Here is a 15,220-nt window from a genome sequence, read left to right as displayed (position 1 = left end):
GGTTGTTCACAGTTACTTCGTTCTAAAGAATTCTATATGAAAAGTGGGAGAACAGGAAAACTTATAGTGAAAACACTCAACAAACAATACATCAGCCAAGTGATTAACAATGATAAGTTTCACTAATAATCTGCCCCTTTGATATAACATGAAGAGAAATGAAATTTTACGTCTGTGGTTTTCCTGCCCCAAATCCAGTAATCCCATGAGAAAAACACTGGACAACCAAAATTGAACGACATTCTACCTGATGGGTACTCCTCAAAACTACCAACGTCATCAAAAACAAGGAGAGTCTGAAAAACCGCCATAGTCCGTAGGAACTTAAGAAGACATAACAATTAACTGCAATATGCTATTCTGGATAGGAGTATGGTCCCCAAAAAAGGACATTAAGTAAAAATTAAGAAAATCTGAATAAAATATAGACATTAATTAATAATAAGGTATAAATATTTATTAGTTGTAACAAATGTATCCTACTAATTTAACTTGTTAATAGAGGAAACTAGTGTGGAATATATGGAAACGCTACTAAATTAACTTTTTTGTAAATTTAAAACTTTTGAGAAATAAACTTTTACTTAAAAGTCTCCATATGAATATTTATAGTGGCTTTATTCATTAATACTCCAAACTGGAAACAATCCAAATGTCCTTAAACTAGTAAACAGGTAAACAAACTGCTGCACCTCTGTCAATGGAATACTACTCCTTAATTTTAAAAGGAGCAAACTACTGATATATACTACAATATGCATAAAATCAAATGTATAAAGCTAAGTAAAAGAAGTCATACTTAAAAGGCTACTTCCTGTACGTGTCCATTTACACCCCACTCTTGAAAGGCAAAACTATAGGAATGAAAATAAGTTAATCATTACTGGGACAGGCAGCTTGGGAAAGTGACTAGATACAAAGGGGCAGCAAGAGGATTTTTTTTTCAGACAATAGATCTATTTTTTGCTTTTTTTCAGATGATGGATTTTTTTCAGATGATGATATTTTTGGATTGTGTCTGTAGTTACATGCCTGTATGCATTTGTACAACCTCGTAGATCTATACTCCAAGAAAACTAAATTTTGCTGGATGTAAAATATTCTTCAATTATTTTAAAAAAATGACTGTCAGAATTTATACTTTCCAAATAAAGAGAGGAAAAAATAAAGAAAATAGAACACTTGGGCAAGACACAGAGGTTAAAAGAGAAGGAAACAAGAAGTAAACATAACCAAAAAAAATTAAGATTAAAGATATAATACCAGAAATATTGATTACTATAATTAATATACATAGATTTAACTTTGAATTGGAACCTGCATATGTTGAGCATTATAAGACCTGCGTGCTTAACTAAATGTGTGCTTATCCCATGCAGCTTCAGTAGGCAAAGGGGAACATTGCTTCATTATTGCCAAGTATGGGGTGGAAATCCAGGTTCACCACCTCTCCTCTGTAGACATGAGGAGAAGGAATTATTTTGATGATTGTTGTAGTAATGGCAATATCCATTCTTAACTTCTCCTAGACTGTTTAGAGTTACTATTATAATATTGTTATAAGATTTACAAAAATAAAATAATTTTACCAATGCTTGCTACTAAACTTTCTGATATTGTTTTCATATATATTATGTTTACATGCATTACAACCCCCCAAAAAGGTTATAATTTTTCTATCAATTGTACTATGTATTTTAGAGATACTAATGGGTTATTATTTCATATTTACCCAAATATTTATTTTCTATTTTTTTTGCATTTATTCCTGAAAATCCAACTTTCCTTTTGCTATCTTTTCTATCCATTATGATTTCTTATAGCACAGGTCTGCTAGTAAAAATTTGTCTGAAATTTTCTTTATTTGAAAATGCATTTGTTTTTATTTCATTCTTAAAGTTGGCTTGATATAGAATTCTGAGTATACATTTTTACTCTCTGCAATTTAAAAATATTCTTCCACTGTTTTTTGCCTCTATAGTTTCTGATAAGTCTGTATCATTGAAATTAATGTTTCCTTGTATCGAATGTATTGTATTGTTATGGTTGTTTTCAAGACATTTTTTCTATATCTTTAGTTTTATACAGTTTGATTTTAAAGTATGTAGGAGTAATTTTCTTTGATTTTTTTTTCTTCTTGGTTGTTGATCTTATTGAACCAGGTATTTTGCCAAATTTACAAAGTCTTCGACCATTATTTCTTCTAATCATTTTTTTAGCTCCATTCTCTCTTCTGTTTCTGAGACTCTGATTATGCATATATTATACCTTTTGATGTTGTCTCACAAGTCTCTGAGGTGCTGTTTATTTTCTCTCTCTTTTTCAGAGTGGATAATTTTCATTTTCCTATGGTCAAGTTCACAGACCCCTTCCTGTGTCATTTTTATTTTGCTATTGACGACATCTGGTAAAATCTCTATTTCAAATATTGCATTTTTCAATTTCCAAATATCCATGAGCTCATATTTTGTTCTTTACATTTATCTGCCAAGCATAACTTTTTTTCATTCATTTAGAGTCATTTCTTTTACAGTATAGCTTTTTATAATCTGCTGTATAACTTTCTTAGGGCTGCTAAAACAAAGTGCCACAAAGAGGGTGACTCAAACAGCAAAAATTTATTGTCTTACAATTCTGGAGGATAGAAGTCCAAAATCAGCATGTCTGTAAGACCGATTCATTCTGAGAACTCTGAGGGATAATCTCTTCCATTCCTCCCTCCTACCTCCTGATAGCCTCAGGTATTCCTTGTTTTGTAGATGGCATTCTTCATGTGTGTTTACATCATGGTTCCTCTACACATATCTATCTCTGTGTCTAAATTTTCCCTTTTTGTAATTATGGAGTCCTATTGGATTAAGGCCCACCCTGATGACGTCATCTCAACTTGACCATTTGGAAAGACCATATTTGTAAATAAGGTCACATTCACAGGTACTGAGGGTTAGGACTTTAAAATCTTTTGGGGAGACAGATTTCAATCATAACAGTTGATTTAAATTTCTTCTTTGATAATTGCAACATTGAATCATCTCATGACATGAATCTAATGACTGCATTTTCCCTTGGGAGTGTGTGTTATTTTTCTGATTCTTTTTATGTCAAGTAATTTTGGATTATGTCCTAACTATTATGCATGTTATGTTAGAGAGACTCTGTGTTCTATTATAGTCTTCTGAAGAATGTTGGTGGTTTTGTTTTAGGGAGAAATTAACTTTGTTAGACTCAGATTTGAAGCTCTGTCTTGCTCCTCTGGTTTGTAGCTCAAATCTCTGTCAATTGTTGAAGTTCAATATTGAAACAGGTATTACTGATACATGCATGATTCAGTGGTCAGCCTGAGACTTTGGCAGATTTCATACATAAAGTTAATGAACTTTTCTCTAGCTCTTTCTTCTCCAGCATTCACCCCTTACTCTCCAGTGCCCTTGGTTACTTGGGCTCCTTTCTCTGTTTTTTTCTAGCCAGAAAAATATTAGGCTTTTTATTTCTATTGGAATTTCACCTGTCCATGCTATAGTGCTCAGCAACTGCTGCCCACACTTAAGGCAAAGCTACCAAACTAAAGAAAATGAGACAAAACCCAGGAAACGCACACACTGTCAGTTACTGTTCAAAGTTTTAACTCCACCTCATATTTTATCTGTATTCATTTTCTCCTTAGTCCCTTCAGGTAGAAGGGATTTAATTTAGAGTTTTTCCAGAGTTATTATCTTGTGGTGGGCTAGTTTGTGACGGATTTATGCTATCATATATAAAGCAGACAGCCTGTATTAGTCTGTTCTCACACCGCTCTAAAGAACTACCTGCACCTGGATAATTTATTAAGAAGTTTAATTAACTCACAGTTCTGCAGGCTTAAGAGGGAAGCATGATTGGAAGGCCTCAGGAAACTTACAGTCATGGCAGAAGGTGAAGGGCAGGCAAGTACTTTCTTTACATGTCGGAGCAAGGGTGGGGGGCAGGTGACACACTCTGTTAAACCATCAGTTCTCATGAGTACTCACTCACTCTTATGAGAACAGTATGGGGGAAATCCACCCCCATGATCCAATCACCTACCACCAGGTACTTTCCCCAATAATTGGAATTATAATTCAACATGAAAATTTGGGTGGGGACACAGAGCCAAACCATATCACAGCCCTTACTTTCTTTTCTATCCACAATGATATTTCAACAATTTTTCCATTATTTATACGTGTTTTTAGTCTGTGTGTTAGTGTGTGGGAGTGGGTGTGTTTTGAGAGCAGGTGGTGTGTGTAAAACTCCTTACATATCAACTAGATCTGCAACATGGAAAAGTTGAAGTTGCAATGCACCATTACCTCATGAAAAATTAGCAAAACTAGAAATTAGTAAACAGTTTAAACACTCAGAGACCTACCAATGTAAATTTTATTACATTATAACCTATGACTTCCATTAATAGGATATAAAAGATTAATGTTTAGCCTAATTAGAAACTACTAATAATGAAGACAGGGCATATTAAAACATATAGGATGCTGTCATAGTTATCACAGAGAAAATTTTACAGCTTTAAGTGTTTTTATTACAGAATAAAAGGGATAAAAGTATTTGAACAAAAACAAACCTCAGGAAAGCAGGAAAAGTGATAATAAAAGTAGACATGATTAAAGAATAGAAAAAGTAGAATTGATTTATTTAACAGAAAAAGGCAACAAACATCACTGTAGTTATTGTAACCCACCAAATAAGAGATAAAATGCAAACACACAAAATTGTGAATGAGAAATAGAATATAACCTTTCAGAATAAAACAAAATGATTTTACAGGTGACAGCTTTTAAATTTTAGGGAAAAAAATGAGAAAAAATCCATGCTATACATAGTTTTCCAGCACAAAATAATAACTACAAGTACTTTTCAGCAGTTTTAAAAAATTCATTTACTGTGGATCCATAAGTCTGTTGTGTTGCCAGTTTAGCAATGGTTTTGCCACTTTGTCTGACAACAATATGGCCCAAGAGAAGAAACAGAATAAAAATATATCATTGGAATAACTCACGCTGGTAATTAGTTAGACAATGGCAGAGAACAACGTTGCTGGACTTTGAACGAATAGGTTAGGAAATACATCCAGTACTTGAAGATTGGAGATCTCAATAATGTAAAAGAGATTCCGTGTGAATGAGGGCATATGGTTTAGAAAGAAAGAAATCAATAATTGAATTGGAAATGCTTAATTCAAGATTTTCAAAGAGCATACCTGGAAAATTACAAGTTCCAAATAATGTCAAGATCAAGGTAAAAAAGCACAAATTAAAATAAAAATTAAGGTCATTGGTGCAGAAATATTTCAGAGGCTTATTAGAGGATTCATTCATGAAGATATTATAGATATCCATATTGATAACATGATTTGAAGTAAAAGATGACTTTTCAATTAGATGACAATGTAATCCTTGAATACCAATTATTTATGTTTAATTCTTTAAAGGACAAAATATAAATGAGAATCTAAAAAAAAAAAAAAGCCCCATGGCATAGACCATGAACGGAGCTTGTTTTTTCTTTGTGATGGTGAAAGAGCAGTAACTTAGCAATGGCCAAATGGAGTGAAGACAATGAACTGTAATAGCTCTAAAAGAAAGGATCAATTGAAAGAATGAGCAGCCCCCATTTGAGAGGACTTTGTGGGTAACAAAGTTCTCCCGTAAAAGCTTTTTGAAGTTTTTACATCAGTGATAGTAGTAGTGTTACGACTCCATAGTAGGGAAAATGGTGATGGATTCATTAGCCTTAGAGCTTCTCAAGCTTATGGTTGTGACCAGTGTCTCTAGAATCATTTTACCTTTGTGGGGAGCAGAGGGTGATCATCAGGAACTACAAGTCATTCCATGCCAGCAACTTTTTTATAGCAAAGTTTCAGAAAATAAACCCTATCCCTTAATAGAGTCTGTGTATATACCACTTAGACTTCAACTAATAAAACAGAAGAGAAATGAATAAATAGTTGCTCAATTCTATTCTCAACCCTGTGTCCTAACATTATTAAAAGTCAAAATATATCCTCAGATTAGACACTATTTCCTCCACATTTTCATGGTTTCACATGTGTTCTTCAGTTAGAATCCTTATGGTTTCAGAATGGAAACAATGAACATTTTACAGATGACTTGAAATGTGACAGGGTCCAAGATTTTTATTCTTCAACCTACATGTCAATCTGCCCTAATCAATACTTACAGGCTTTTAGTTGAGGAAAACAAAACCATTTCCATTTGACTACTGTGATAAATAAAAATTTATTTAAAAAGTTCTAGAATACTTATCCATGATTACACAACTCAATATATGAAGAGTATTAGCTGGAAGAACAGATTCTTAAAAGCTTATTAGTTTCATTCTAATCACTATTAAAACTTGTTTTTGAATCACCTCCACAGCAAAATAGTGGAACCACTGATTCCACTGTAGCTCATTCCTATGGTCTCATGACTAAAAATGCACACTAGTCTAACCCTTTTACAATATTCTGTTCATCCAAGCTAATCAATACTTCATTTATAGAATGATTCCAGGCCAAATTGAACTTGAACAAGCTTTTAAAGTAAAAAAGTATAGGTCTTTGTCTGGAATATTTTAATTTGGCTTTCACTGTGATTTAAGAGAAGTGGTATTCCTATAATAGCATGTGGTCCTGGAATCAGAACCACTGGCATGAGCAAGCAGAGACCCAAGTAGAACAAATGGGAAAAAAAATGGCTTCTCTCCAAGCAGCAAATTTCCTTGAAACATATTCTCTTAGAGCATATTAAAAAGAACTAGAATGTCTGGTTAATGTTTAGATCACTTTATAAGATCTCACATGTAGGCTTCAGGTTGTGTACAATAGTGGCCATATAATAAATCCACTGGAGATTTTGGTTTTGTCTAGATTTATTGTTTTATCCATCATTCAAAAGATCTTACTTGATTTCATTTACAAGGCCATTGTGAAAACTCCCCACTTCTAGATGGCTTATAGGGAATGGGGTGTTTTAATTTAAAAGCCAACAAGCAGCAATATATGCAGTAAGGATCTCTGTTCTAGAGCCTTAGAAAGCCTTTCATATACCTTGATAGTTAATTGTCAGATATCTGAAATCTTTTCAAATTTGATTCCTCTATAGTAATTTAAGTTAAATTTAGGAAATATTTTGTGAAACTTGGTCATTTTCAGATATGAATCATAAAGTACTGTAATAAGTCAGTGTACATTTTAGAATAGCTGTGAATTGTTCTCACTGTAATAAAAAGATAACCCTTCTAATATTTGTAAATTTAACCATTTCAATGGATTAATATTTTATCTCACTTCTGACAGTAGAAAAAATTCTCATTTCTGTCCAAATTAATTGTTAATAATTTTCTTGATCTTTAAGTGAGATTAGGTACAGAATTCTCATACAAGTTAGAATAAGCTATCGAAAAGAAACTGACCTCATGGGGGTTTTATCCAAACCTACAAATCTTTGAAAGTTTATGCATCACCACTTTTTAACTTGAATTAGGAATTCCAGCCAGAAGAAGCAGAAGGACATGAGCCAAGTGAATTATAATACCTAATAGTTGTTATTACACTGGGAAGAATTGGTTGAAAAACTGGGCCTGGAGCCAGGCAGCTTTTAGCTACTAACACTATACACAAAAATCATGGTCCATATTCTCAGCATGGGTTAGAGGAGTAATAACAGAGTGGAGCTTACAGACCACACCCCTAAAGAACTAAATTAAAATTACCTTATCTCTAATTAAAAGTTGGCAGAAGTCACTCTATTTCATCTGTCAGTTCTCATAGTACAAGCATGCATTGCTTAAAGAGGGGGATATATTCTGAGAAATGTGTCATTAGGTGATTTTGTCATTGTGTGATCATCTAAAGTATACTTACACAAACGTTAATGGTAGAGTCTACTATTCCCCTAGGTCACATGGTATCATCTATTATCCTAGGCTACAAACCTATACAGCTTGTTACTGTTTTGAATACTGTAGGCAATTGTAACACGATGGTAAATATTTGTGTATATAAACATATCTAATCATAGAAAAGTTGCAGAAAAAAATATGATATAAACTTAAAATGTGGTATACCCTTATAGGACACACAGCATGAATGGAGGTTGTAGAACTGAAAGTTACTGCAGGTGAGTCAGTGAGTGAGCCATAAATGAATGTGGAGATCTAGGGCATTACTGTACACTACTGTAGACATTATAAGCACTGTACATATAGGCTATACTAAATTCATGTCAAAATAGTTTTCTTCATTAATAAATTAACCTTAGCTTACTATTTTTTATTAAATTTTATTTTAAATGTTTTTTAATTGAATTTTTTTTTAACATTTTGACTCTTTTGTGAAAACACTTTGGTTGGCCAAGTGCGGTGGCTCATGCCTGTAATCTCAGCGCTTTGGGAGGCCGAGGCGGGTGGATCACTTAAGGTCAGGAGTTCAAGACCAGCCTGGCCCACATGGTGAAACCCTGTCTCTACTGATAACAAAATTAACTGGGCATGGTAGCGCACGCTTGTAATCCCAGCTACACGGAAGGCTGAGGCAGGAGAATAGCTTGAACCTGAGAGGCAAAGGTTGCAGTGAGCCAGGATCGCGCCATTGCACTCCAGCCTGGGCAACAAGAGTGAAACTCTACCTCAAAAAAAAAAAAGAAAAAGAAAAAAAAGAAAACTTGGGTTAAATACAAACACATTGTACAACTGAACAAAAATATCATCTGTCTTTCTATCTTTATTGTATAAGCTTTTCTATTTTTAGATATTTTTACTGTTAAAACTTTTTTTTTGTTAAAAAGTAAGACACAAGTACACATACTAGCCTAGGCCTACACAGGGTCAGGTTCATTAATATCAATGTCCGCCACCTCCACATCTTGTTGCACTGGAAGGTCTTAGGGGTAATAACATGCATGGAGCAGTCATCGCCTATGACAATGCCTTCTTTTGGATACCTCCTGAAGGGCCTGCCTAAGGCTGTTTTACAGTTAACTTTTTTTATATGTAGAAAAAGTGCACTCTAAAATAAAGGTGAAAAGTATAGTATAGTAAATCCATAAGCCAGTAACATAATTGTTTAATATCACTATCAAGTATTAATAACTGTTTGTAATTGTACGTGCTAGGCTCTTACGCAACTGCCATTGCCACAGACATGTGAGTAATGCCTTGCACTATGATGTTAAGATGGCTACAAAATCACTGGGCAATAGGTCTTTTTCAGCTGCATTATAATCTTATGGAACCACCATCATAACTGCAGCCTGTCATTGACTGAAATGTCATAATGCAGTGCATGACTATATTTTGAGAAAGCCTGTATTGATTATCATTAGCTCTGAAGGGCCTAATGTCATGCCTAAGAAATGTTCATAATAACACAATTTCTGCTGCGCATGGTGGCTCACGCTTGTAATCCCATCACTTTGGGAGGCTGAGGCAGGTGGATCACTTGAGGTCAGTTTGAGACCAGCCTGGCCAACATGGCGAAACCCCATCTCTACTAAAAATACAAAAAATTAGCTGGGCAAGGTCCTGCATCCCTGCAATCCCAAGTACTCGGGAGGCTGAGGCAGGATAATCACTTGAACCTGGAGGCAGAAGTGAGCCAAAATAACACTGCTGCACTCCAGTCTGGGTGACAGAGTGAGACTCTGTCTCAAAAAAAACAAAAACAAAACAAACAAACAAACAAACAAAACACACACAAAAAAACCACATACACACATAGTTTCCAACCAAACTATTTATCAGCAATAAGAAATTATTTACATGTGAAACTCCTGGTTTTAAATATATTTATGCTTTTGTGGACAGAGCTACTAGTTGAGTATCATATGATTAAAAATTGGAATATTATAGGAAATTATAAATAAAATATTGCATGAATGATTTACATAAAGACTTAATGATACAGTCAGATGTAAAGTACACTTTTTCTTTTGAATTATGAACTCATCGTAATGTTACTCAGGCCTAATAAGACATGTGAGTCCTTTGTTTTAAATTACATATATTCAGCTTCCCTTCTCATTCACTAATCATGCAATCACCAGTTTATATTTTTGTTATTGCTGCTACTCTTCTGTGGATAATATAAAAGGGTATAATTTACTTGAATTAGAAAGATGAAGAAAAAGAAGCGTCTTTATCCTGAATTGAATAACCAGGGTTGGTCCTCGTTGCAATGGAGGTAACAATTGATGGTTTTCAGAGATCATCCTGTGAGTTTTATAGTTAGACTGTAAAACACTGTGAGAACACGGACTGCCCCCTAAAAGTAAAACTACAAAGAAAGATCACTCCAAGGAGTGGGCACATTGATAATTGTATCAGTTGTCAGGCACAATAAATGTTTTCAATTATTCAAGAAAAAAATGAGTGTATATTAATATTAATAGAAATTATTTAGAACAAAGCATTTTAGATCACACTGAGTTTGGATTCCATTCAGTTTTCACCAAACAAAAATATTTAGTTTATTTTCTTTACCTTGCTACTGTGACAGGTAAGCTATATATATAAAGTAAAATCAAAAGTAAGAGATATTTAATTTTTAAAAATATTGGATGGAAAGGCTTTTCCAAGAAGACTTAATGCAAACAATTCAAAATTTACTACGATTTCTTTTTTAATCCTATACAATAACAAAATATCATAAAACAAGTCAGTAGCCAAATGATAATCAGTAAGAAATATTTTCAACTCACAAGAGTCAAAGTGCTGATAGCCTTAAAATGAAAAGATCACTTACAACTCAATAGCAAACTGATGTGCAAATGAAATAGAGGGATGAAAAAAATGAAATAAGCAGATAATGAAAAAAGAAATATAAAAAGGTAGTAAATATAGGAAAAGTGCTGATCAATTCTCATAATTTAAAAAATGTACATCAAAATGTAATACTGTCTTTTATCTATCATGTTGATTAAAATTTCACAAAGAAACAGAAAAATAGATCTTTTCATACTACTCTAGTAATTGATCCAATCTCTATGGAAGATGTTTTGTCAATATCAAAATTTGAAATACTTAAAATTTTGACCCAGATTCCTATTCTAGAAATTTGTTCTATGAACATTTCCCCACTGCTACACAAAGGCACACATGCAAGGACCATCAAGATATATTTCAATAGTAATAAGTTAAAAACAAACTAAATATTCACTCATAGGACACTAGTTAATTAAGCAATGGTACATCTATACAATGGGTTTCTGGGCAACAGATCCAAGTAATGTTGCAAGTGTTGTTATGGAAAATAGCCATAATATATTATTAACTGTTAAAAATCAAGTTGAGAACAGTGTATACTGTAATTATATAATATAATCCAATCTGTAATAATATTTTAAGAAGTGTGTATGTGTGTAGATATGGATAGCATCTTTTCCTCTGGTTATTAGCTTATTAGCTTTTTATATTTCTTCTTTTTACCCATTTATTTCATTTTACTATAAAATTTTGTAGTAAATATTTTAATATTGCAATTACATAAGCATCATGGAATCTGTTCAAAATCATTCTTTGTCTTTGAGTTTTCTGTAGAATGTCTATATTCTTTAAAAACATAATTTCTCTACATGAGTGCTATATTTCATTATTTACATCTTCTGGTTTCCATTGTAAAGTACAACTTTATCTACACATATGCACAAGTTGAGAACAGTATATACTGTAATTATATACCCCAATCCAATTGGTAATCATATTTTAAGATGTGTATGAGTATGCAGATATGGATACAGAAGAACCTATTAGCAATAGTACCTATGTGAAGTAGAAAGGTGGGTATGGAGAGTTTTAATTTTTACTTACTTTCTTCAGTACAGTTTGAAACTTAAGCATCTCTTGTACAAAACTTTCATTTTATACCTATAATTTACTTAAGACCCCCCCCTTAAATTGAATGGTAATTTTTTCCACTCCATCTTTATTTTCAAATATATACAAATATTTTAATATTGTAAATACTTAAGCATCACAGAATCTGTTCAAAATAATTCCTTGTCTTTGAGTTTTCCATAGAATGTCTACATTCTTTAGAACACAGTTTTTCTCCGCTAGCACTAATTTTATTACTTTTTTTCTGATTTCTATTGTAAATTAAAACTCAGTCTATACATACACACAATTTAGACATGACAGATAATTTTTCTGTATTAGTTGTTAACTTTGTAGTTGGTGATTTGGGGCACCTTTTTAATTCAGAGTAGCATCTCCATCTCTTAATGATGAAACTAACCAATGTCTGCAATCGTATAGACCTAGTTGCACTAACTTTATTATAGGTTATTGATCATGTTTTTGTAATGTCTTTGGCCTTCAGGCCAGGCAGTATCATTTTTGCACAGAATGGTCCCCTTGTTGATGAGGACCAATTCCCAGTTTAGTTATCATATGCCACTAGGTAATGTTTCTTTAAATATCTACATATGTTCTTAATGAATATAGTATTAGAAACTAAGGTGCATTAAAATAGCAAACAAAAGTTATTTTGAAAACACAGGATTAGAGCCATATTATAAATAATTAAAACACAATAAGAACCTCTTTGTAGCATGTGAATGACCTGATTGCTTGCTGGGAAATTTACCCACCAAAAGTGTAACAACAAAAGTACTGCATTTATTCGGTATGCAATTTAACATACTCTAATGAATACTGCATAATATTAATAATTGTATATGAATTGTAAGACCAATATATCAATATTCACAAGGGGTCTAATCTATGTTTAAACTAAGAATTTATAAGTAGTACCTGTAGAAGAAAATTGTGTTTCTTTTGTGAAATATGATCTTTAGATAAAGAGATTAAAGAGTGAGTGAAATGTTCTGGAAACCCTAGTCAATATTTGTTTGGATTTCAGTTGTTTAAAAAAGTGACTACCAATAATGAGGCTAATTTCCTAGAATAATATGATAGTATTTTAGATCTTTCTCAGTATTCATATCACAAATAAATTTGTGGGATTCAGCTCCACACAAAACAATTTGATAGCTAAAATGGCTTTTGATAACTTCTTCATCTTTTCTTCATTTCCTAAGTACTCGGTGCTAACCATACATTACCAAATTATTATATACTTACAGAATTTCAAACCCAACTTCTAGTGTCCATAGCTACAAGCACCAGAAGGAATTATGCAATATACAAAACACTGTAATAAATGCTTCTGAATTTTAATTTTAGAAACTGCTTCTTCTATTTACGTTTTCTCTTTAATACAATTACATGCACTTGGCAAGAATAAGATGTGCTTTTAAAAATTCTTTGAACTTTCTGGATCTTAAGACTTATTCGGTTGGGTGTGGTGGCTTACGCCTGTAATCCCAGCACTTTGGGAGACCGAGGCGGGCGGATCACTTGGGGCCAGGAGTTGGAGACCAGCCTGGCTAATATGGAGAAATTCCGTCTCTACTAAAAACACAAAAAAATTAGCAGGACATGTGGCACACGATTGTCATCCCAGCTACAATCCAGTGAGGCTGAAGTCGGATAATTGCTTGAACCCGGGAGGTGGAGGTTGCAGCGAGCCGAGATCGGCGCCACTGCACTCCAGCCTGAGTGACAGAGCATGACTCTGTCTCAAAAAAAAAAAAAAAAAAAAAAGGAATTATTCATTCACAAATATGCATAAATCAACCTAAACATTCAACACAATGATGTTAACCCATGCAACATCCAATGTTCTTACTCCGACAAGATGCTGGAAAAGAGAACACTGAGGATTAAAGAGCTTGGCTTTTTGGAATCAGACAATTTGAGTTAGAATGCCAGTTCCTCCAGCTGCTAGATGTATCACTGAGCCACAGTTTTCTCATCCGAGAAACAATTATTTATTGAATGCCACTATGTGCCAAGCATCAGATCATAACACTTCCCATGTAAATTCACTGGGGGAATTAATTATTATAGGGATTCTTGATAAGGCAATTTACACAGTGTCTGAAACACAGACCATATTCTTTACATGGTAGCCACAGTAATTTTATTGTAGAAAGGGATTTCATCCTTCTTGAAATCACCTTTAAATATTATATATGGCCCTCAAAACAACTTCATTTCCTTTACTGATAATCTGTCGTGAGCATTTTGGGCTGAATATATTTAAACATTTTTTAAGTGATGCTGTCTGCAGTCCATAGTGCCTCTTTAAACTGTTTTATCCATTGCATGCTTTGATTCCTTATGCTCCATTACAGAGTGTCACTGTATGTTTAGAATAATTGAATTCAAGGTGAATAAGCAGTTCTTATTGACTAATGCTTGTCAAGTACAACATGCTTATACTTTTATACATTGTGTTTTAGAGACTTGAAATTCTCTTTTTATGTGTGGCAAAACCTGAGATAATGAGACGTGTCCCGTGTGAGCACAAATATAATAATTTTGACAAGCTCTTTTACGTTGCTTCCAAAGTACAGTTTGCTACTCTTTGATCATAAACATAATCCCCAAGCCAAAGCCATGATGGTAAAGCAAGCATTGCAGAGTGACAAATACTTGTGTTACTAGAAATAAACTTGTGGCAGGGTCTTAACTAGGAGACCACGTAATCATGTTTAAAAAACAATTCAGTGTTTTTTATACACAAGATTGGACATCATGAGACCTGAATTCTAGTACTGGCTCTGACACTGACCAGCTGTACCCCTCTCTACCTGATCCAGATATTTATTGCCTATATAAAGAAAATTCTGGGCTGGGCGCGGCGGCTTACGCCTGTAATCTCGGCACTTTGGGAGGCCGAGGCGGGTGGATCACGAGGTCAGGAGATCGAGACCACCCTGGCTAACACGGTGAAACCCCGTCTCTACTGAAAATAAAAAAAAAATAGCTGGGCGTGGTGGCGGGTGCCTGTAGTCCTAGCTACTCGGGAGGCTGAGGCAGGAGAATGGCATGAACCTGTGGGGTGGAGCTTGCAGTGAGCCGAGATCGCACCACTGCACTCCAGCCTGGGTGACAAAGTGAGACTCCGTATCAAAAAAAAAAAAAAAAAAAAAAAAAGAATGTGAAGATCTCATTCAGATAAAAATTGTCACATTCTTATGGTGAGCAGAGCTTCTGAATGCTTTGGTAAGCAGCTAAAACAATCTTTGACCTGGATTCTTCAACCTGTATCTCTACAGCTTCAAACATTTCTGAACAGATGCAGAACCACTGACTCTAAAACTATGGATAGAGCATAAAG

The sequence above is a fragment of the Homo sapiens genome, chromosome 5 (assembly GCF_000001405.40).
Source record: "Homo sapiens chromosome 5, GRCh38.p14 Primary Assembly".
NCBI classification, from domain to species: domain Eukaryota; kingdom Metazoa; phylum Chordata; class Mammalia; order Primates; family Hominidae; genus Homo; species Homo sapiens.
Note: the sequence above shows the minus strand (reverse complement) of the source record.